Raw genomic sequence first — 24118 nt, 5'->3', positions numbered from 1 at the left:
TTCTCTTTGTCTTTTGGGGCATGTATCTTTTTTATTCCTTAATTACCATCACTTCAGTGGATTTTCTAGAGACAGTGGAAATAAACTCATGTGTTCTACATTTAATTGGTTAGATGTGAAGAGCAAGTGAGGTTTTGGTTCTAGGTTTCGTTTCCCTTTAGTTTCTGGTTTGAGTGACTTGGTAGAAAATATAAGAAGGACAGATTTGTTGGGGGCTGGGGTAGAAACTAGGGATAGGGGAAATGATCCGTTTTTAGATGTTTTGAAGTTCCTGTGGGACATACAAGTGGAAACTTGCAGTATAGGCCCTTGGATCTGTGAATCTGGACCTTAACCTAGAGGTTTTGGCTAAAATTATAGATTTGGAAATTATAGTAGTAGTTGAAGCTGTAAATGTAATTACCTAGGGAAAGCATGTAGAAGAAGAAAAGTAAAATGTGGCCGGGTGTGGTGGTTCACATCTGTAATCCCAGCACTTTGGGAAGCCCAGGTGGGTGGATCAACCGAGGTCAGGAGTTGGAGACCAGCCTGGCCAACGTGGCGAAACCTTGTGTCTACTAAAAATAGAAAAATTAGCTGGCCATCATGGCGTGCGCCTGTAATCCCAGTTACTTGGGAGGCTGAGGCAGAAGAATCACTTGAACCCGGGAGGCAGAGTTTGCAGTGAGCCAAGATCGCGCCACTGCACTCCAGCCTGGGTGACAGAGTGAGACTCTGTCTCAATTAAAAAAAAAAAAAAGAAAAAATATATTTAGCAAAGAAACTTTGGAAAGGAAGAATGTTGAGAGCATACTAGTCTTAGAAATACTGCATTTAATAAAGACCTATAATTTGCATCATTTTGGTAGTGGACACAAGAACATCTGTTGCAACCAGTGCAACAACAGTGCAAAAACCCAATTCTGTTATTTATAATAATTCCACGGATGACAATGGGGAATACCACAAAACCTAGGAATAAGAGAAAAATACATTTAGTATATGATGTTGGGACACTGACTTTAGAATTGCGGGGGAGAGGTCAGATCAGAGCCTGCTCCCATATTTTATGTAGCATAATTTCAGATAGAAAGTTAGATATTTTAAGATAATAGAAAAACACTGGGAGATAATATAATCTATCAAACCTGATAGTCTTCCCAAACTTAGAGATTAAACACCAAGGAAAAGGTAAACAGATTTCATCACTCGAGAACGGAACTTAAGATGAAAAGAAACCTATAAAGCTATAATCCAAAATAGACATAGTCACAGCTACTTGGAAGGCTGAGACAGAAGGACTGCTTGAGCCCAGGAGTTCAAGGCTGCAGTGAGTTGTGATCATGCCACTTTTCCAGCCTGACAGAATGAGAACCCCTCTCTTTAAAAAAAAAAAGTTGGTAAAAGAATTCTTTGCAGCAAACATAAACAACAAATACCTTTATCACGTTAAAGCTCACTAATTGGTGAGAATGGTAAGACCATGATAGATAAGTGAGCAAATAACATGAATAAACAGTTAACAGAAGAGGAAATATATCTAATGAATACAGAGAAAAGTTCAACTCATTAATCAGAGAACTGACTAAAGTAGGGTATTCTATTTCTACTTATTAAATTAGCTAAAATTTTTAAATCAGTGGTCCCCAACATTTTTGGCACCAAAGACTGGTTTCGTGGAAGACGATTTTTCCACAGATGGTGGTGGGGGTGTCAGGGGGGTGGGTTTGGGATGAAACTCTTCCATCTAAGATCATCAGGCATTAGATTCTCATAATGAGCATGCATCCTAGATCCCTCGCATGCGCATTTCAAAATAGGGTTCATGCTCCTATGAGAATCTAATGCTGCGCAGATCTGACAGGAGGTGGAGCTCAGACTGTAATGCTCTTGCTCCCTGGCTACTCACCTCCTGCTGTACAGCTGGGTTCCTAACAGGCCGTGGACCAGTACTGGTCTGCAGTTCAGGGGTTGGGGACCCCCGTTTTAAATGATACCAAAAATTATTGAGTTTTCTTGGAATAACAAAAGGAAAGGGGAATAAACATTGATTGTGTGCTTATTATGTGAACATGTGCTTATTATACAGGCTTCACTTATATTATTTTGTTTTATCCTCTATGAATTAGGCTTTTTTTTTTGGAGACAGTCTCACTCTGTTGCCCAGGCTGGGAGTGCAGTGGTGCGATCTTGGCTCACTGCAACCTCTGCGTCCCGGGTTCAAGCAATTTTCCTGCCTCAGTCTCCCAAGTAGCTGGGATTACAGGCATGCACCACCACGCCTGGCTAATTTTTGTAATTTTAGTAGAGATGGGGTTTCACCATGTTGACCAGGCTGGCCTGGAACTCCTGACCTCAGGTGATCTGCCCACCTTGGCCTCCCAAAGTGCTGGAATTACAGGCGTGAGCCACCATGCTTGGCCCCCGAATTAGGCTTTTTTTCCCGACTTTTTCAGTTGGCAAAACTGGGAGTCAAAATGACATAGCTGGTGAATGAGTTAGCCTAGGACCATCTGTCTCCAAAGTTCATTATTTCACCCCTCATAATGCAGTTGTGAACACTAGTGCAACTGCAACTTTTTTTGGAAAGCAGCTCTTTTGGAAAGGAGTTTGGCAGTATATATCAAATATATCAAGAGCCTTAACCATTCATGTTCTTTTTTGGATTTGGTAATTTCTTTTCCAGGAATATACCCTAGGAGGGGAATATCCCCAAAATAGAAAAAGCTTTATGTCCAAAGATGTTCATTGCAGCATTATTTAGGTGATTGAAAAATTGGAAGCAGTGTAAATGTCCACTAATATATTGATTATGTTAACTGTGAGACATCTACTAGATGGGATATATTTTACAGCCATTAAAATGATAGCTGTGACTAATATGACCTGTTGATAGGTGAAAACAGGAGAAAATAAAATTTTACATATAGTATAATTACAACTAGGTTAATGAAACACATATGTGGGGGGGGAAGATTGGAAGGTAGTATATAAAATGTTAATAGTGGGTGTGTTTGAGTGTTAGAACTATGGGAGATCTTTGTTTTCCAAGTTTTGTTTATAACAAAAGAGCCACTCCTGTAAGAAAATAGGTGGATGATAGACTTGTTGGCTCTCAGGTCCCCTTCACCCTTAGATCAGCCTGTGTTCTTGGACACACAGGGGAGCACAGATTACTTTATGTTTGGATGGCCAAAAATAGTTGGGGTTTAGATGGCTCACAGCTTTCTCTGAACCTCATCCTTTCGGGCTTGGTTTCTGAGCACTTATGACCAGATCTTAAAAGCACCTGAACAGATTGCTATATTTTTTTTTTTCCTCATAGGCACTGAAGTGGCAGCAGCATCAGGGATTGCTTCCTCCTGGTATGACCATAGATTTGTTTCGAGGCAAGGCAGCTGTCAAAGATGTGGAAGAAGAAAAGTTTCCTACACAACTGAGCAGGCATATTAAGGTAGGATCCTAAGACATTCAGCCAGTCAGTAATCATTTGTTGAGGACTTGTCATGGGCTCAGCCAGGCCCTGTGCCAGGGGCTTGGATAATTGAGGGGGAGAACTCATTCTCCAGCTCTGACAATATTCAAGGTTGCTGCAGGTGTCCACTGGGATACTGCTGTGGCCTGGGAGTGGTACACCTCAGATGTGTCATCTAATGGATGGACATCTAGCTTGACATCTAGCCCACCATCTGCCCTTGCACTTCTTCCCAAGAAGCCTGCATTTGGAAGAATGGTTAGTTCTTTTTTGGTTACACCTGGGACTGTGAACTTTGTATGTACTTCTTCTGTTTACCATTTTTATTTTGCCTGCTATGTGTCAGGCAGAGTGCCAGTGAGGGATTACAAAGTGGGCTTATGTGATGTTTGAGGAAAATGATTTTATCTTCCTATGGTGTGGTTTTTTAAAATTTTTTATTTATTTTTATTTTTTTAAATCTGAGAGTTTTCTAGGAAAAAGTGTTCTAGGTAATTCCCAGAATTACAAGTGTATTTGCTACTTTAGCATCTCTATATTACAGTTTCTCTGGATTTGTGCTCTAAATTCCTGGATTTTAAAATATTTCATATTCCTCAAATCTTTGACTTTGGGTTAACATTTTGGGTTTGCCTTTTCTGGATTATATATTCTAACTTGCAGATAAAGATATTTTTAAGCAGCACCTTTATTTACTCTGCCTGAAACCTTGAGACAAATAGAAATCCATCATTATTATGCTGCTGGGCTAAGATTTTCTGTTATAAACACTTTCCTTTTTTGGCATTTAAGGTGAAATCCACATTAGAGCTTTTCTTTGTTCTTTCTACCTAATTTTCTGTAGTTTTCATCTGTTATTGGGAGCATCCTCACTAGCAAATGCTCAGAATGCATTTATCAGACAGTATATTAGCTTTAATTAGTTCTTCTAAGTTTGGTCAGCTACACATTATCACTTCATTAAATGAAGGTTGTGAAACACTGATAGAAAGTTTATTTACAAAATAATATAGGGAAACATACATTTAGTTTGAAAAAATGAGTTTTTTCCCCCTGAGATACACAACAGGAACATATTAGGCCATACTGAGTGTGAAAGTCACGCTAACAGTGGCTGATTCTAGCAAAACATTACAGTCTGAGCTAACAGGATTACTTGTTCTAAGTCCCATGTTAAAATAGCTTTTGTCCTTTCCTTTGGAAATATCAATCTCACATTCAAAAAACTAGCTTCAACTTAGTGCCTGGACTTAAAACTAAGTCAGAGAAAAATACATCCACCCAGCTCCCTGCGTCCAGGTACAGAAATACCCCTCCAATACTCTATAATATGGGCCAGCTATGACTTTATGCTAGGGCAGGGTTTCTCAAAAGGTTAAAAAAGGAATTGTTTTAAGTCCACTAGATAAAAATGCATCTGTTTCATTGTTTCATTTGAAACAGTTTGGTCAGAAATCACATGTGGAGTGTGCTCGATTTTCTCCAGATGGTCAGTATTTGGTCACTGGGTCTGTTGATGGATTCATTGAAGTATGGAACTTTACTACTGGAAAAATCAGAAAGGTAAAGTATTTTAAATGTGTTAACCTTCCTAGTGGAAAAATTACCTGCTTTGAATTACTTACCTATGGCCTCTAAATCAGATTAGTTGAAAAAGGATCTGTATGTAATGAACATGTATTACTTTTGTAATTAAAAAACTCATTTAAAGCTAGGGACAGTGGTGCACACCTGTGGTCCTAGCTACTGAGGAGGCTGAGGCAGGAGGATCACTTAGTTGAACCCAGGAGTTCAACCCAGCCGGGGCAGCATAGTGAGACCGCGTCTCTACCAAAAAAAATTTTTTTTTAAATTAACCATGCATGCTTGTGTGCACCTATAGTTTTAGCTGCCTGGGAGGCTGAAGTGGGAGGATCCCTCAAGCCAGGAGTTTGAGGTTGCAGTGAGCCATGATTATGCTACTGCATTCTAGCCTGGGCAGCAACACTGTCTCAAAAACAAAAAGCAAAAAACGGTATGTTTAATTAAATTCCAATTTTATTAACCAAGGGAGGACCTTTATGATCTGTAATTGTTTTATTATCTATTATTTTTACAAGTAAAAAATTTTTTTTCAGGCTGGGCGTGATGGCTCAGGCCTGTAATCCCAGCACTTTAGGAGGCTGAGGCGGGTGGATCACCTGAGGTCAGGAGTTTGAGACAAGCCTGGCCAACATGGTGAAACCCCTTCTCTACTAAAAATAAACTAAAAAAAATTAGCTGGGCCTGGTGGTGGGTGCCTGTAATCCCAGCTACTCGGGAGACTGAGGCAGGAAAATTGCTTGAACGTGGGAGGTGGAGGTTGCAGTGAGCCGAGATCATGCCACTGCACTCCAGCCTGGGCAACAAGAGCGAAACTCCATCTCGGGGGAAAAAACAAAACAAAACAAAACAAAACAAAACAGAGTTTCGCCCTTGTGGCCCAGGCTGGAGTGCAGGGGCACGATCTCGGCTCACTGCAACCTCCGCCTCCCGGGTTCAAGGGATTCTTCTGCCTCAGCCTCCAGAGTAGCTGGGATTACAGGGACGTGCAAAAAACAAATTTTTTTTTCAAGGGGTTATATGTACAACTGATACAAAGTTCAAAAAAACAAAAAGTTACTCAAGTAGTGTTTTGCTCCTACACTTGTACCTCAGCTAGTCATTTGCCTTCCTTGGGCCAGCCAGGATTACCAGTTTCTTATGTAACTTTACTGGAATATCCTGTGTGTGTGTTACTTATTATGTATCCTTTTCAAAATTTTGTAATACAGATGATAGCATACTATATACCCTGTTATACTTCTTGCTTTTTATAGCATATGTTGGAGATTATTGCTGTATTATATTACATTGCATGGATTGAACCATGATGTATTTAACCACCCATTTTATTTAAGATCATTTCCAATCTAACCTAATTGTAGTACTAATTCTATTTCTCTTATAAATGAAGTTAAACATCTTTTTCTATGTGAAAAGCCACAAATTTTTTTTTATTTTACCGAAGTCACTAATATTTCTTACACTATGAAGTCTGTTAATATCTTTTGCCCATTTTTCTGTTGGATTGTTCTTTATTGATTTGTAGGAGCTCTTTATATTTTAAGGAAATGAAGTTTTATAATATACATTACAAATACTTTAAAATTTTGACTTTTATCTCTTGATTTTGCTTGTTTTGTTTTACAGACTTGAAATTTTTTTATATCATCAAATTTATTCATCTTTTTTCCTACAGTTTCTTCTAGTACTTTAATCTTTTATTTTATGTTTAATTTTTGACCCTTCAAGAATTTGTTTAGCGGGATAAAGTTGGTATAGATCCAAGTTGGTTTTTTCCCCATATAGCTATTTACTAACTTTTATCCACTGATTTAAAATGTAATTTTTTACTGGGCGCAGTGGCTCATACCTGTAATCCCAGCACTTTGGGAGGCTGAAGTTGATAGGTCACTTGAAGTCAGGAGTTCAAGGCCGGCCTGGCTAACATGATGAAACCTTGTCTCTACTAAAAATGTAAAAATTAGCTGGGTGTTTTGGTGCGGACCTGTAATCCCGGCTACTTAGGAACCTGATGCAGGAGTATTGCTCGAACCCAGGAGGCAGAGGTTGTAGTGAGCTGAGATTGCATCACTGCACTGCAGCCTAGACGACAGAGCAAGACTCTGTCTCAAAAATAAATAAATAAAATGTAATTTTTATCGTAGAGTACCAAATTCCATTCTATGGGTAGTGGATTTATGAGTGATTTTTACTTTCTACTTTATATGTTTCTTTATAGTTTGCTTTTATTTTTTAAACCAGGAAGCAGTCTCACTTTATAATTAGAAAAAAATAAGAAAAGTAATCTGTTTGAACAATAATGGATAATAAAAGAAGCATCACAAATAAATAGATTAGTCAGTAAACTGTTTCAGGAAAGGTAGCTGATCATTTGGAAAAAATATTAGTTTAGTTTCCCACATCATACAAAAATAGGTAAATTCAGATTTATTAAAGATGTAAAATATGAAACTAGAGAAATTTTGCCTAGAAAAAAATCAGTAAGGAAAAGATCTAGAGTAGTATGTGGGTATTTTTTATAATACTAATTTGAATTGTATAAAATTATTTATCCCCGGCAATATCACTGGGAACTAGTTACTTACTAGGAACGTGTATGCACGGCACTTCTGTTTACTTTGGGGGTTTAGAGTAGGTACAATCCATTGCCCCTGGTTTTTGTGAGTTTGTAGAGAACTGGGGTCTTGGCTTTGTGTTATTTTGATAACTGCTAACCATTGTTTCTTTAGGATCTTAAGTACCAGGCCCAAGATAACTTTATGATGATGGATGATGCTGTCCTCTGCATGTGTTTCAGCAGAGATACAGAAATGTTAGCAACTGGGGCCCAAGATGGAAAAATCAAGGTATGGATTAGTGCCACAGCCTCTCATATGTAGACATTTTGAATGTTCTGCTATGGGGTAGTGTCCTACATATGATATTCAGCATAATAATAGCTACTGATTATTGAGCATCAGCTTTATGCTAATCACTTTACTTTTTCTTATGTAATCTTAGCAACTCTGTCTGGGTGATCCAATAACATATTTAAGGTCACATACTTGGTAAGTGATAGATCTGGGACTTTAGTTCATATCTGCTTATGCCCTTTCTATTGTACCACCCTGGCTTGCTGTATAAAAATCAAAATAACTAACTTTTTTTTTAAGGGGATGGTCTAATAGCCAATTTGTTGTGGTTTGTATTTAATGCTAGAAATACATCCTGGGCTACAGAAATTGCAGAAATGGTCTCTGCTAAGTGAACTTAGAGTCTATATTTTTGTTTTAATAATTTACAAGGAAAGAGTTTTAAGTTTCAAAGGATTCAGTTACCATTGTACTATGTGAACTAGACATCATATTCAGCTATTAGCGTGCATTTTTAATGCTGTTTCAGTACATTAGTGAGCATTGCATCTTGCTTGGCTCTGTGGGCTATTAATAGTAGGACACTTAACAAGGTTTTTTTAATTCTTTTTTTTTTTTCAAATAAAGGTGTGGAAGATTCAGAGTGGACAATGTTTAAGGAGATTTGAGAGGGCACACAGTAAGGGTGTCACCTGTCTAAGCTTTTCTAAGGATAGCAGTCAGATCCTTAGTGCTTCTTTTGACCAGACAATTAGGTAAGTAAAAATCCCAAAACTGCTCTCACTTGAGTTTGATATAATGAGGCCATGGAGGGAGGTACTAGTGATTCCTTACGCTTTTACCATGATGCTTTTACCATGATGATGTGATATGGAGAGGGAAGGTATGTGAGACCTTATGTCCCCAAAGTACAACTGACACTTGTTGTTGTGTCATTTGAGTTTTTACCCAGAAGAGACATTTGAAAGGGGGTAGCAGTGCTTCATGTTTCTCAGAGTATGGTCTTATGGACCTACCTGCATCATAATCACTTTAGAGGGTCTGTTATACTCTAAAGGACCCAGCTGAGACCCACTGATCTCAATCTCCTGCTAACTTGTTTTTTAGAGGTCTGTCCCTGAACAGAAGCTTGTGGTATTACTGGCATATTTTCTTCCAGCCTCTTTCTTTGCAAAGCTTTTGTTTGATTGTTTGATATAGTGAAAATTACACCGTATACACAATCACATAGCCCTCTTCACTTAATATTATAACATGAGCTTCTGTAATTTATCTAAAATGCATTCAATCGTTGGTCACAACCATAAGATATTAAATATTTATTGTTCTTTTCATTTACTTTCATTTGGTAGAATTCATGGTTTAAAATCTGGGAAAACCCTGAAGGAATTTCGTGGCCATTCCTCCTTTGTTAACGAAGCAACATTTACACAAGATGGACATTACATTATTAGTGCATCCTCTGATGGCACTGTAAAGGTTAAGTATTTGCTATCAGTTTATTTTGGGATGTCTACCCCATCTTTGTCCTTTGAGGAGTTTTCAGTGGTGATAATGGGAATGATTGTGCTGTAGTAAACCTCTTTCCTGGCTATTTTAGCTGTAATTGAGGTGAGTCTGAGACAACAACAGTATTCTGTGGGTAATTCCCATTGGCCTTGGGACCCCAATCTCAAACCTTTTCAATCCAAACAAACTTTATCATGTGTAGGAAAAGAGGAAGGGTGAAGAGTCCTAAACTTAAGCCATCCCCCATTCACAGATACACATGGTGGTTAAATCTGTTTTGCCATAGGTATGGTCCACCTGCTAACAGTCAAATTCACGAAAGTCTCAGTGGCCTAATAAATAGATCTCTTTTTTGTTGCACAGCCTCACTGCACTCCTGGTCCCCAGATTTAGGGCCTTCCTAGTAGCATTTATAGAGGAATAGGAGAGGTGTTGAGTAAAACTAAGCCTTCTCCTAGATAGTTATTTAATAAGTAATTTGCTGAAAGTAATGGATCTTCAGTACCTTTAAAGATTTAGTTATTTGAAGAGAGGTTCTCATTTCCTAGAAAAGATATGAGAAACCCAAATAGAAAATTATTAGAGATCTTTGAGACACTATTTACATTCCGGACCTAATCTTTTTGAATTGTCTTATATGAGTGAGTACTTTGTGGCAGAAGATCTAGACATTTTAATAAAACATTTTAATACAAATATCTAGATATTTTAGATACATATTTAAGTATCTAAAATTCAGACAGCCAGGGGTGGTGGCGTATACCTGTATTCCTAGCTACTTGGGAGGCTGAGGTGAAAGGATCACTCGAACCCAGGAGTTTGAGGCTGCATTGAGCAATTTTCTCACCACTGTACTTCAGCCTGGGCAACAGAGCAAGAACCTGTCTCAGTCAATCAATAAATGTATGTATATATATATATGTATATATGTCAGACCACCGTCTGAAATTGCTGTTCATGATTGGAAATCGAACTGGAAACCCGAAGGCAGGAGATGTATGCTCCCTTGGGATGTATGGGGAAATCACACAGAGCTGTTAGTACTTCAGTCATGGGATTTGCTCTCATGCTATGCATATGGGCCTCACAACTTGTAAATGCCACTGGAAGATGGCTTATCTAAGGTTCCTTATTTTGTGGTCTTTCCCCCTTAGTTCTGCAGTGAGTGGGGCAAAGCGTGTCACTGACCTTTTGAATGGAAAACACTGGAAGCCTTAGCGTTCTTAATTCCTGAAATGTTCATTTTTTCTTCTAAGCAACTGGGCTTCAGAGGAGATTAGGGCAGGCAATAACAGTGTTGACACCAGGGCAACTGTTTTCTCCTGTTTATGGGTATTTATTCAACATCTGCTTTCTGCTAAGCTCCATGGAAGGCACAGAGGAAACACAGCAGAGTCCATGCCTTAGAGACTTTGTACCTGATGAATTGAGTGGTATCAGGACAATGCTATTTAATGTTTGATCCATCCCTTCTCTAAGCACATCTCAGATTTCTGTGCTACCTGATTTAACCCTTTCAGTTCATAGAACCCAGAAGGATAAGGTGAAAAGATAGACCGGGAAAAGTAATGCAAGTGGCCAAGAGTAGCTTCCACTTCAAAGTTCCTCATGTGTGTGTGCTAACATTGTGACTTCTGTTCAGTCATTGTCAGTATAAACTGTACATTGGAATCATTTGTAGCTTTTTAAAAAATGCCTATGCCTCACCCTAGACCTACCACATCAAAATCTCAGGATAGAGTCTCAAGCTAAAAAGCCTCTATTTGAGCCAGGCTTATTGGCACCTGCCTGTAGTCCCGTACTCAGAAGGCTGAAGTGAGAGGATCGCTTGAACTCAGGAGTTTAACGCCAGCAGAGGCAATAGGGCAAAATAGCGAGATCTCATCTCTTTAAAAAAAAAAAAAAAGAAAAGAAAAGCGGTTTTTGTTTTGTTTGTTTGTATTTTATTTTAATTATTTTACATAGAGACAAGATCGCACTATATTGCCCAGGCTGGTCTTGAACTCCTGGCCTCAAGTGATCCACCCGCCTTGGCTTCCCAAAGTGCTGACATTACAGGCGTGAGCCACCATGGCCGACCCCCTGTTTGGTTTTGATATCCAGACAAGGGTAGCTTTCTGGTTGTTTATGACAGTAGCAGTGTTGACAAACAACTAATTTTAAAGAGAGAGAGCTCTATTGGCTAAGGAAAAATGTATGAGAAAAGATCATAGATTTTTAAAAGTTTTTAAGTTTTAGTTTGTGACTTTGGCTTTGCCAATAAATCAACAAATACATGATGAATGCTTACTCTATTACAGTTGGTCCTCTGTATCCGGAACATGGATTCAACCAATCACAAATTGAAAATATTTGGGGAAAAAAAAGAAAATTCCACAAAATTCTAAAAAGCAAAACTTAAATCTGCCCCATGCCAAGTACTACATTGAATCCTTACAAAGGAAGTGGTGTGCGGGCATTGTATTAGATATTATAAGTAATCTAGAGATGATTTAAAGCATACAGGAGGATGTGCATAGGTTATATGCAAATACATCATTTTATGTGTGGGACTTGAGTATCCTTGGATTTTGGTATCTAAAGGGGATCCTGGAACCAATTCCTCACAGATACCGAAGGAAAACTGTATATGGCAGTGCTGGGTATTTGATTGGACCTAAAATCAAGTAAGAAACTTTTTTCCCCTGAATCATTTCTATTCTTTTTTAGTAAACTGTTAATATTTTAAACCCTAAAACTTTAGAAATTTTTATACCTAAAAAAGGTTTATAACTTAAATTTCTGTGTGGTAGATCTGGAATATGAAGACCACAGAATGTTCAAATACCTTTAAATCCCTGGGCAGCACCGCAGGGACAGATATTACCGTCAACAGTGTGATTCTACTTCCTAAAAACCCTGAGCACTTTGTGGTGTGCAACAGATCAAACACGGTGGTCATCATGAACATGCAGGGGCAGGTGAGTGTTCAGAACGTACCCTTGCACAGGAACTGTGGGCCATTCCCAAATCAGCACTTCCTGGTCCAGGCCCACCCTCCCAATAACCAAATTTGGGTTCATTTCTCTGTAAACCGTTTAAGCTGTATTTGTTTTTCAGATTTATTTATAGCTCCATAAAACATCTGTTTGGTATTTCAAAAGTGATCTCCTTTCCCCTGGATGTTTGTATATTAAGCACTTTCATCCTTCGGATAAAGGAAGCTCCTATCTGTCTTTAAGCCTCCTTCAGAACCTCACTGAAGATTTTAAGATAACAGTGTTTGTCTGAGTTAGGGGGATACAGTGTAGTATGGATTACCAACTCAGGACATCTCCCAGCTACCACGATCTAAAGTGGAACACTAATAGGAGAAAGGCAGCAGCAGTGTCCTCGGTGTATTTTTAATCAGAAAACCTGCAAGGTTCTCAAGGAATCTCACTTTTGTGGACTGTGAAGTAGCACTGGGGGTGTCAGAAGCATCAAGTTTGAGGACCCAAGCCCTAGGTATGTATGGTAGTGCTATTGGATTATTGGCCTGGACACTTGGGGATCTTGCTGACCATAGAGAAGACCCAGGGGCTGGTGTGTAGTACTCTCTTTCCATTCTTTGAGTTCTGTAACTGATGGAGTAGTAGTTGAGAATCCATAGCTGAGATGGCTGGTCCGCAGTATCTTTTGGGCCACTGCATAATAGCTACAGCTGCCCAGTGCATCTGCTGAGCACACTTCACAGTTCTGTGCTTGACTTTTTAAAATACTTTATTTTGAAAAAATAATTTTAGATTCACATAGAGTTGCAAAAATAGTACAGAAGAGTTCCTGTGTTTCGCTCTTCAAATTCCTCCAATGATAACATCTTATATAATGATAATACAATGATCAGAACTAGGAAATTGACATTGGTACAGTTATTAACTCTATTACAGATCTTATTTAGATATAACCAGTTTTTACATGCATTCTTTTTATTTATTTATTTATTTTTAAGCAGGGATATAATCATTCTGTAAAGTTTCATTACATGTATAGAGTCATGTAACCACCATTACAATCAGGATACAGAACTGTTTTTTTTTTTTTTTTGAGATGGAGTTTTGCTCTTGTTGCCCAGGCTGAAGTGCAATGGCGTGATCTCGGCTCACTGTAACCTCCGCCTGCCGGGTTCAAGCGATTCTCCTGCCTCAGCCTCCCGAGTAGCTGGGATTTCTAGTAGAGACGGGGTCACTCCAAGTTGGTCAGGCTGGTCTCGAACTCCTGACCTCAGGTGATCCACCTGCCTCGGCCTCCGAAAGTGCTGGGATTACAGGCGTGAGCCACTGCGCCTGGCCAGGATACAGAATGGTTTTATTCCCAAAGAAACTCTCATGCTACATCTTTATAGTCACGTCTTCCCCATAACCCTAGCCCCTGGCAACTACTGATCAGTTTTCCATTGTCATAATTTGTTGTTTTTTAAAAAATAGACTTTTAAGAGTAGTTTTAGGTTCACAGCAAAATTGAGCAGAAAATACGGACGGTTCCCATATTTCTTCTGTCCCTCCCACGGGCACAGCCTTCCACACTATCAGTATCTCGTGCCAGAGTGGTACGTTTGTTACAACTGATGAACCTGCATTTGGTACATCATTAACACACAAAGGCCATAGTTTACATTAGGATTCACTCTTGGTGTTGTATGTTCTGTAGGTTTGGACAAATGTATAATGGCAGGTGTCTACCATTAGAGAATTGTACAGAGTAGTTTCACTTCCCAGAAATTCTCTGTGCCCTTTCTGTTCTTCCTCCTTCCCCACTAACTTCCGGCAACCACTGATCTTTTTCTGTCTCCATAGTTTTGCCTTTTCTAGGAGGTTATGTAGTTGGAAACATAAAGTACGTAACTTTTTCATTTTGACTTCTTAATAAGATGCATTTTTCTCCTTGTTTTTTCATGGTTTGATAGCTTATTTTTTATTTTTATTTTTATTTTTTTTTTTTTTTGAGACAGAGTCTCGCTCTGTCGCCCAGGCTGGAGTGCAGTGGCGCGATCTCGGCTCACTGCAAGCTCCGCCTCCTGGGTTCACGCCATTCTCCTGCCTCAGCCTCCCGAGTAGCTGGGACTACAGGCGCCCGCCACCACGCCCGGCTAATTTTTTGTATTTTTAGTAGAGACGGGGTTTCACCGTGTTAGCCAGGATGGTCTCGATCTCCTGACCTCGTGATCCGCCCGCCTCGGCCTCCCAAAGTGCTGGGATTACAGGCGTGAGCCACCGCGCCCGGCCTTATTTTTTTTTTTGAGATGGAGTCTCACCTTCTCCCCCAGGCTGGAGTGCAGTGGCGCAATCTCAGCTCACTGCAACCTCCGGCCCCCGGGTTCGAGCGATTCTCCTGCCTCAGCCTCCCGAGTAGCTGGGATTACAGGCGCCTCCCACTGCACCCTGCTAATTTTTGTATTTTTAGTAGAGACAGGGTTGCACCATCTTGGCCAGGCTGGTCTTGAACTCCTGACCTCGTGATGCACTCGCCTCAGCTTCCCAAAGTGCTGGGATTACAGGCCTGAGCCACCACACCCGGCTTTTTTTTTTTTTTTTTTTTAAGTGCTTAATAACATTTATTTATCCAGTCATCTACCAAAGGACATCTTGGTTGCTTCCAAGTTTTGGCAATTATGAGTAAAGCTGCTATAAACATCCATGTGCAGATTTTTGTGTGAATATGTTTTCTATTTCTTTGGGTAAATGCTAAGTAGTGTGATTACTGGATTGTATGGTAAAGTATGTTTAGTTGTAAGAAACTATCAAACTGTTCCAAAATGGATGTATCCTTTTGTATTCTCACCCTTGGTGAATGAGAGTTCCTGTTACTCCACATCCTCACCAGCATTGAGTGTGGTCAGTGTTCTGGATGTTGGCCATTCAAATAATAGGTGTGTAGTGGTATCTCATTTTAATTTGCATTTCCACATGTAGAAATCTTTTCATATGCTCATTTGTCATCTCTATACTTCTGGTGAGGTTTCTGTTTCAGGTATTTGACTCATTTTTCAATGGGGTTGTTGTCTTACTGTTGAGTTTTAAGAGTTTTTTGTATATTTTGGATAATAGTTCTTTATCAAATCTGGTTTTTACAGATATTTTCTCCCAGTCCATGGCTTGTCTTTTCATTTTCTTCCTTTTTTGTTTTTGAGGCAGGGTCTTGCTCCATTGCCCAGGCTGGAGTGCAGTGGCATGATCATAGCTCACTGCATCCTTGAGCTCCTGGGCTCAAGAAATCTTCCAGCCTCAGTCTTCTAAGTGGCTGGGACTACAGGCACGTGCCACCATGCCCGACTTTTGTGTGTGTGTGTGTGTGTGTGTGGAAATGGGGTCATGCCATGTTGCTGAGGCTGGTCTCAAACTCCTGGCCTCAAGTGATCCTCCCACCTTAGCCTCCCAGAGTGCTGGGATTACAGGCATGAGCCACTGCATCTGGCCTCATTTTCTTGACAGTGGCTTTTACAGAGTAGAAAATTTTAATTTTAATGAAGTCTAGCTTATCAGTTATTTCATGGATCATGTCTTAGGAGTTGTATCTAAAAAGTCATCAAACTCAAGATCATCTAGATTTTCTTTTTTGTTATCCTCTAAGAGTTTTAAATACAGTTTTGAGTTTTACATTTAGGTCTGTGATCCATTTTGAGTTAATTTTTGTGAAGACTGTAAGGTCTTTATTTTATTGTGTCTAGATACATTTTCTTGCATGTAAGTGTCGAATTATGGCATCTCTTGTTGAAAACACTATCTTTTCTCTATTATATTGCTTTTGCTACTTTGTCAAAAATCAGTTGAGTGTATTTCTGGGCTTTGTATCCTGTTCCATTGATCCAATACCACACTGTCTTCATTACTGTAGATTAGTAGTAAATCTTGAAGTTGGGTATTGTGAGCCCTCCAACTTTGTCCTTCTCTTTCAACATTGAGTTCGCTATTCTGGGTCTTTTGCCTCTTTGCGTAAGCTTTAGAATTGGGTTGTCAATATCCACAAAATAATTTGCTGGGATTTTGATTGGGATTGTATGAAATCTGTAGATTAAGTTGGGAAGAACTGACATCTTTACCATATTGAGTCTTCCTGTTCATGAACATAGAATATCTCTGTGTAGTTCTTTGATATCCTTCATCAGAATTTTGTAATTTTCCTCATTTAAATATTGTATGTATTTTGTTAGATTTATACCTAAGTATTTTCACTTTGGGGCTGCTAATGTAAATGGTATCATGTTTTAAATTTCAGGTTAATCCCAAGCCCTAACCCTTGGCAACCACTGATCTGTTTTCCATTATTATAATTTTGTCATTTTGAAAATGGTATAGAAATGGAAGCATATAGTATGTAAACTGTTCGCCTTTTCAGATTGGTTTCTCTCAGCTTGGTTTATGATGATTTTAATGTATCAATAGAGCAAGCAAAGTCTTAGAGACTGAGTGTCATCCTGTATGGGGAAAGCTTCTCATTCTGTTAGAGGAAACTGGAGAGCAGACATCCAGAAAGCTTTGAGAAATACTGGTATATTGATTTAGAAAATTGTTTTTTGTATGGCAATGAAATTTGCTTAAGGGTAATATGTCTCTTTAGGGCATGATTGGTGACGTGGGATGTATGAATTCTAAATTTTTGTCTGCCACTTAGTTTAGATTACTTATCTATTGAATATTTCCCAGGCAAGGGGAGTTAGCACATGATGAACAGGACTGGAGATCTAATTACAAATGATAGTAAACCAAAGTGCAAAATAACAACGTAAAAATGTCAGTTTAAAATGCTGCACATGGTTGAGCTGCTACTAATCCTGATGTTTTTTTCTTGGGGTGTGGTGTGATCTAGATTGTCAGAAGCTTCAGTTCTGGTAAAAGAGAAGGTGGGGACTTTGTTTGCTGTGCCCTCTCTCCCCGTGGTGAATGGATCTACTGTGTAGGGGAGGACTTTGTGCTCTACTGTTTCAGTACAGTCACTGGCAAACTGGAGAGAACTTTGACAGTGAGTATTACTTACTAAGTTCATCTAAAGAAATATGGTAGGACTTGTGTCTTTCTGAACTCTGAAGTATGTGCCTTTTCCAGAGCTATCGATGTGACCCTCAGTATAAAATATGTTGTTTTAAAACATTTAGCTCCATGTCAAATTCAAGAAGTAAAATTAATGTCAGCTGCTATGATGATCCCCAAATCTCGGTGGCTTAACACTATATAAGTTTGTTTATTTTTATTTTATTTTATTTTATTTTGAGAGGGAGTCTCACTCTGTCACCCAGGCTGGAGTGCAGTGGTGTGATCTCGGCTCACTACAACCTCTGCCTCCTGGTTTCAAGTGATTCTCCTGCCTCAGCCTCCCAAGTAACTGGGACTACAGGCACATGCCACCACTCCTGGCTAATTTTTTGTATCTTTAGTGGAGACGGGGTTTCACCCTGTTGGCCAGGCTGGTCTTGAACTCCTGACCTCAAGTGATCCACCCGCCTCTGCCTCCCAAAGTACTGGGATTGCAGACATGAGCCACTGCGCCCAGCCTAAAGTTTATTATTATGTCACAATGTGATGTGAGTTGGAAAACCCTCCTCCATCTTTCTCCTATGCCATTTGGAATATGTGGCCTCCCAAGATCTCTTTTTCCCTTCCACCCACCTCTGGAAGCCTCATCAGAGTGATTTATTGCAGATCTGTACATCCTAACCCTGTGCTTTACATGTTCCAGGTGCACGAGAAGGATGTGATTGGTATTGCACATCACCCTCATCAGAACCTGATTGCTACCTACAGTGAAGATGGACTCCTAAAGCTCTGGAAACCATAATTCAACTTTTCTTTTTAAATCAGCTCGAAAGCATGTACTTAAATGAAGCATATTCATGTAATGTGCTTTTTTTTTTTTTTGCCAGCTTTTCTAAGCAAATAGATTGTCTGAATTAGTCACAGAATAATTTTGTGAAAATTCATGTTTAAGTAGCAACTACCCTTTCTTTTTTTATATATTTTTAAGGTATTAGTTTATCTTCTTCTAACTGGTGCAGTCACTTAATGTTTTCATTAATCTTCGACCTGGAGAGTGAAATACTGATATTTCTAGAAAAAAATTCTACTCCTCTGATTATTTGAAATGCTGAGGAAAATGTCCCTCCCATAGTAAAACTTGTAAATAAGGAACTATATCATATTCAGTAGCTGTGTTCTGTTCCATCTTTTTTTTTTTTTTTGAGATGGAGTTTTGCTTGTTGCCCAGGCTGGAGTGCAGCGGCACGATCTTGGTTCACTGCAACCTCCGCCTCCCAGGTTCAAGCGATTCTCTTGCCTCAGCCTCCCGAGTAGCTGGGGACTACAGGTGTGCGACACCATGCCTGGCTAATTTTTTTGTATTTTTAGTAGAGATGGGGTTTCACCATGTTGGCCAGGCTGGTCTCAAACTCCTGACCTCAAAGGATCCACCCGCCTTGGCCTCCCAAAGTGCTGGGATCACAGGCGTGAGCCACCATGCCCGGCCCATCTTTTTTTTTTTTTTTTTTTTTAAAGATGTTAATAAACTTTATACCTTTCTGGAGACTTTGTTCTAAAATGTACATAAATGCTCATCTAGTTAACATATTTACTTAGAATGTGGGAGGAGGAGTCACATTATTATCCCTGAATCTCAAGTACAGCAGAAGTGAATTCCTGGGATAGTAGGATAGACTAACATGTAAAAAGGCCAGGTGATGCATAGGTTCTCATTTCACTGCCCTCAGCCTTCCTCTCCTTCTGAGCTGTGCCTTCTCACATGTTCAGTCAACTCCAGGGAATATTGTCTCCATCTTCTGGATAGAACTAGTTGCAGGATCCGTTACAAGAATTCAGAGTTTTGGCATCTCCCCTTTGTATGTTGTAGGAGAAGGTTTGGCATTGAAAATGTGCTGTTGTTCCAAAGAAAAATTAGCAAAGGACTTGAGATTTAGAAAAGTCTCCTTTGTAATGTGCATCATTACCAGTTATCTAAAGAAAAACATGTAAAAGCCAACAAAACCCTTGAAAATATTTTGCATATGGATGTCTGTTTCACGTTTCAACTGAAGATGTATAGAGCACCTCTGATGATGAGGAAGATACCATGCTAGGCAGTACTTTCAAGAACGTGAGTTCTTATTTCTGCAGGCCTTTTGTGCCCCCTTTTAAATGTTAGCATTTATTAGGTACAAACTAGTGGGGAAGGTTTTTTTAAAAAGTTTTGCAGTCTTGTAATTTACCTTTTTAAAAAATTTATTTTATTTTTCTGAGATGGAGTCTTGCTCTGTTGCCCAGGCTGGAGTGCAGTGGTGCCATCTCAGCTAACTGCAACTTCCACTTCCCAGGTTCAAGCGATTCTCCTGCCTTAGCCTCCCAAGTAGCTGGGACTACAGGCGCATGCCAGCATGCCTGGCTAATTTTTGTATTTTTAGTAGAGCGGGGGTTTTGCCATGTTGGCCAGGCTGGTCTTGAACTCCTGACCTCAGGTGATCCGCCTGCCCTGGCCTCCCAAAGTGCTGGGATTACAGGCATGAGCCACTGCGCCCAGCCTTGTAATTTACCTTTGATGGTGACCTGAAATGCAGTATGATCCTATATGTGGCACGTAGTAATGTTCAGTGTTTGCTGAATTAATTCTGGGCAGCACTAAGAAATCCCTCTTTCCCAGTCATATTCTATAACACATTTCCCATTTGCCACAAAACCTGCAGCTTTTTGGTCCAGGTAATGACATTTGCTGCCATTTTGATGATTTAAAAATGGTCGTGGGAGTTGAACATAGTCATGAATTCAGGATTCCTGAGCATGTAGACAGTCATCCCAGTGGAAAGACACGTTCACTTAAGAGAAGTTTAAGTTAGAGGAAACAGTTTATGCTAAAAAAATTTTTAGAAAAGTCCTTGAGAATTTTTGATTTAGTCTTGACCTCATGAAGCTGGTAGTTATGATGTGCATAGTTTGTATCACCGTTTATGAAGATGGAGAATCTAGTCAGCACGTGTTGGTTTATTCTAGGAATTTTTAGGGAACACTTCTGTTGCTGGCACCAGGTGATGAATATGGTTAAAAAAAGACTCGTTTCTGCCTAAACATAGGGAAGAAGAGCAAATTAAAAGGAGTAATTAAAACTGATAAAAGCTCAAGTTACCTTTGTGATGATGAGGCGGGCAGTTAACGCGAAAGGGTTGGGAAAGGCTTCCTGGAGGGACTAGGGGGCGGTCTAAGCACAGGGAACCTAACCGGGGACTCCAGTGTGGCACAGCGGCAAGGTATGTGCTGGGCAAAATGATAGGTGTCTTGGGAGACCAGGCAAAGAGAGCTGGATTAGGAGCCGTTAAGTATATATTTTTCTTCTTTTTAAATAAAATAATGCACTGGGTGAACATGTAAACGCTAAGTTGAAAATCTGCCTTTCCCAGGTAACCCTTGTTAATCTTTCTACAACTTCATTTCGTACAAACCTGAAAAACACACTGATTTTGTCTTTAAATGGGCACACGCTGCTTACACTCCTCGGCGCCTAGCCTTTCTGAAGCCCCACGCGGCCGTCCCTCCAGCATTGAAGGCTGGGGCAGCCCAGCTCCCCTCCAGCGCCCTTACAGCCAGACCGCGGCGGGGTCGGGCCGCGCACGCGCAGGGCGGACGGCCGGATCTGGGGCGCCGCTGCTCCGGGTGGTCGGAGGTAGGAGTCCCATCTTGGGTCCAGGGCCGGTAGAGCCCCTTACCGGGGGTAGGGAGACTGCGCACCCGCTAGAGCCAACTGTCAGGGCCTGCAGACGTCGGGTGACGTCACTGTTACAAAATTGGCGGTCACATCGTCTTAAGGGCCGGTGGCAGCGGCTGCGCGAACGGGAGTTGGCTGCCGGGAATCAGTGCTCACTTCCTTCTGAATTGGGCGTGTGCAGTCGGTTCCTAGGGAAGTGCTCTGCTGCAGCCACCAGATTTAACGGATGCTGCTCTCTAGCACTTAACATAGAAGCTAAACTACCTGGCGTTAAAATTAATTCCATGAGCATAAGGACATTTGTCCTATCCCCTATTCTGCTGTTGAATTAATGACTGGAAAACATTGCGCGGAGGTATTTGGGAGTAGTATGGCTTTTTTTTTTTTTTTTTTTTTAACAGCAAATGGTATAAATCTCAGGTACAATTCAGTATCTTCTTCACCAGTTGTTTTTTTTCAGCATGTATTATTACTACCACTAACGGCCTCTGTTGAGCCCTTCCTTGCTATGTAAGCAGCCATATTTAATTCTCAGAACAATGTAATGAGGGTGCGCAAATGCACATGAAGAAACAGGTTTCCAGACGTGAGGCACCTAACTCAGTCCAACTTGCACGAAGCTCGCATTGAAAACCAGATGTGACTCCGAAGCTAGGTTTTTTTTCTCTCTTGCCTCACTCTCAATATTGCTGTCAGTTCCTCCTCAATCTTTAGGTTTGGGCAGGGACAAAGAATACATGGATTGTTCCTCCACATGCTGCAAACACATTCACCTAAGCAGAGCACAGGTAGTGAGATGAGTAGAGAGAACTGAATTAGAGGATTCTGGATGTCAGTCTTTGCTGTCACTTCTTTTGGCTTGTGCTAGAACAGTGGTTCTTACAAGTGTCACGTGATAGACACATTCTAAGGTCCTATCCCAGACCTACAGAATCAGAAATTGGTGGTGGGGCCCAGCAAGCGTGCTCAAATTTGAGAGCAGGTAGACTACAGGGTAGTTTCCGCATATACAAAAGGTGTTTTAATTCTTGCTGTCAGTCTCAGAAGTTTCATGCTGAGATAACCAAATTTAAATGATAAAGGTGCAAGACTGACTCTTAAAATCACATTTTTTCAAATTGCCATAGCTTGCTAGTGTTCTCATTCACTGTGCTTTTACAGCTTCATTTTCCACTATTTTAAGAGAAGAAATTGCTATGAAGTGTATGTCCAAGTGAGGAAGTTCCCTGGTCTGAGGTTGTTTAAAACTTACAATAGGCCGGGCACGGTGGCTCAAGCCTGTAATCCCAGCACTTTGGGAGGCCGAGGTGGGTGGATCACGAGGTCAGGAGTTCAAGACCACCCTGGCCAACATGGTGACACCCTGTCTCTACTAAGGATACAAAATTAGCCGGGCATGGTGGCACACGCCTGTAGTCCCAGCTACCTAGGAGGCTGAGGCAGGAGAATAGCTGGAACCCGGGAGGCAGAGGTTGCAGTGAGCTGAGACTGTGCCACTGCACTCCAGCCTGGGTGACAGAGCAAGACTTGGTCTCAAAAACAAAAAACAAAAAAACCAAACTTGGAATAGCAAGGGCTGCCCATTATTTAACCTTCCACGGCAATTTTAACAGTGGTATTCTGTTCCAAGTGGTTAATATTAAATCCATGTGTCAGTGTTGGTGGCTTTCAACCTTGGCTGCGCATAATCATTTTGATGCTTAGGCTACACCCAGCCGAGTTATACAGAATCCCTGGAGGGTGGGACCTGATGAGTGTTTTAATGTTTCCCGGGTAATTCCAATGGTAGCCAAGGTTAAGAACCAGTACCGTACGTACAAAAAAGTTGAGAAGCTAATTTCACGTACAGAAAATTTGCCACTGTTCCAAGAGCACTCTCAAGCGACATAATTGGCCTCTACTCCTATTCCCTACAAGTATGAATGGGCAGGAGAAGCATCACAGAGAAAGCAGAGTTAGTGCTGGAACTTGTATTTTTGTGGATGATGACCTTGGTTAATGTTTTTTCATAGGCTCTGTTTCATAGGCTTTGTTTTTTCATAGGCTCTCCCTCATTACATTGTTCTGAGAATTAAATATGGCTGCTTACATAGTAATGAAGGGTTCAACAGAGGCTGTTAGTGGTAGTAATAATACAAGCTGAAAAACTACACAGACAAACCTATCAGTTTCTGCCTCTTCAGGATATAACTATTAGGTTAGTGCAAAAGTAATTGCGGTTTTTGCCATTAAAAGTAATGGCACATTACTTTTGCACCAACCGACCTAATATGACTTTCTTTTAGTGTTCTTAGGATTTTTAATTGTAAAACATGTAACAAATTTTCCTAAACAATTGTGCAATTCAGTGGCATTATTTACGATGTTACGCAACCACTATTGTATTTCCAAAATGTCATCACCCTAAACAGAAGCCCTGTAACATTGTCAATTAACTTCTCCTTCCCTTCCCCTCAGCCTTTGGTACTGTTTCTGCCTCAATGCATTTGTCTAAGTTTAGTTCATATAAGTGAAATTATACAATACTTGTCCTTTTTTATCTGGCTTATTTCATTTAGCATGTTTTAAAGGTTCATCCATGTATCAAACAGTAAAGTGCTTCATATTTGGGGGAAGTATAAAAAGTATTCCTTTTAATGGCTGTGTATTTCACAGTGTATGTACACATGTATATTGAGAATTGAGAGATTTGTAGGTACACATTAACCATTTGTTGGTGGACAGTCAGGTTTCCACTTTGGGCTGTTGAGAATGCACAGTAAACACTGACCATACGAGTTTTTTTTTTTTTTTTTTTTTTTTGAGACAGTCTCCCTCTTGTCGCCCAGGCTGGAGTACAATGATACAATCTTGGTTCGCTGCAACCTCCACCTCCTGGGTTCAAGCGTTTCTCCTGCCTCAGCCTCCCAAGTAGCTGGGATTATAGGCGCCCACCACCACACCCGGCTAATTTTTGTCTTTTTAGTGGAGACGGGGTTTCACCACGTTGGCCAGGCTGGTCTTCAACTCCTGACCTTAGGTGATC

At 40.3% G+C, this 24118-nt stretch overlaps 1 protein-coding gene across 2 annotated transcripts in view, besides 3 other annotated features; it reads left to right on the top strand.

Annotated features, from left to right (window-relative positions):
- Positions 1 to 23717, top strand: part of SMU1 (SMU1 DNA replication regulator and spliceosomal factor) — a 34910-nt gene extending 11193 nt beyond the window's left edge. For both annotated transcript variants that reach the window (XM_005251503.6, NM_018225.3), the window contains 8 exons: positions 3305 to 3433; positions 4898 to 5017; positions 7768 to 7884; positions 8518 to 8645; positions 9243 to 9369; positions 12192 to 12359; positions 17224 to 17376; positions 18091 to 23717. In XM_005251503.6, coding sequence (XP_005251560.1) covers positions 3305 to 3433; positions 4898 to 5017; positions 7768 to 7884; positions 8518 to 8645; positions 9243 to 9369; positions 12192 to 12359; positions 17224 to 17376; positions 18091 to 18189 — 1041 coding nt within the window. In that variant the 3' untranslated portion in view covers positions 18190 to 23717. The remainder of the gene's footprint in view (positions 1 to 3304; positions 3434 to 4897; positions 5018 to 7767; positions 7885 to 8517; positions 8646 to 9242; positions 9370 to 12191; positions 12360 to 17223; positions 17377 to 18090) is intronic.
- Positions 20824 to 21143: a silencer, noted in NCBI's record as "silent region_19831". NCBI's record gives its function as "represses an Ori minimal core promoter by ATAC-STARR-seq in GM12878 lymphoblastoid cells {active_cell/tissue: GM12878}" and the evidence as "EXISTENCE:reporter gene assay evidence [ECO:0000049][PMID:35858748]".
- Positions 20824 to 21499: a biological region, named in NCBI's record as "H3K27ac hESC enhancer GRCh37_chr9:33043981-33044482".
- Positions 20998 to 21499: an enhancer, noted in NCBI's record as "H3K27ac hESC enhancer chr9:33043981-33044482 (GRCh37/hg19 assembly coordinates)". NCBI's record gives its function as "activates a minimal SCP1, AML or CMV promoter by ChIP-STARR-seq in naive H9 embryonic stem cells {active_cell/tissue: H9 hESC(naive)}" and the evidence as "EXISTENCE:reporter gene assay evidence [ECO:0000049][PMID:30033119]".
- Positions 23718 to 24118: the final 401 nt, after the last annotated feature.

The sequence above is a fragment of the Homo sapiens genome, chromosome 9 (assembly GCF_000001405.40).
Source record: "Homo sapiens chromosome 9, GRCh38.p14 Primary Assembly".
Classification (NCBI taxonomy): domain Eukaryota; kingdom Metazoa; phylum Chordata; class Mammalia; order Primates; family Hominidae; genus Homo; species Homo sapiens.
The sequence above is the reverse complement of the archived record's forward strand: the minus strand, read 5'-3'. Positions and strand labels throughout refer to the sequence as shown.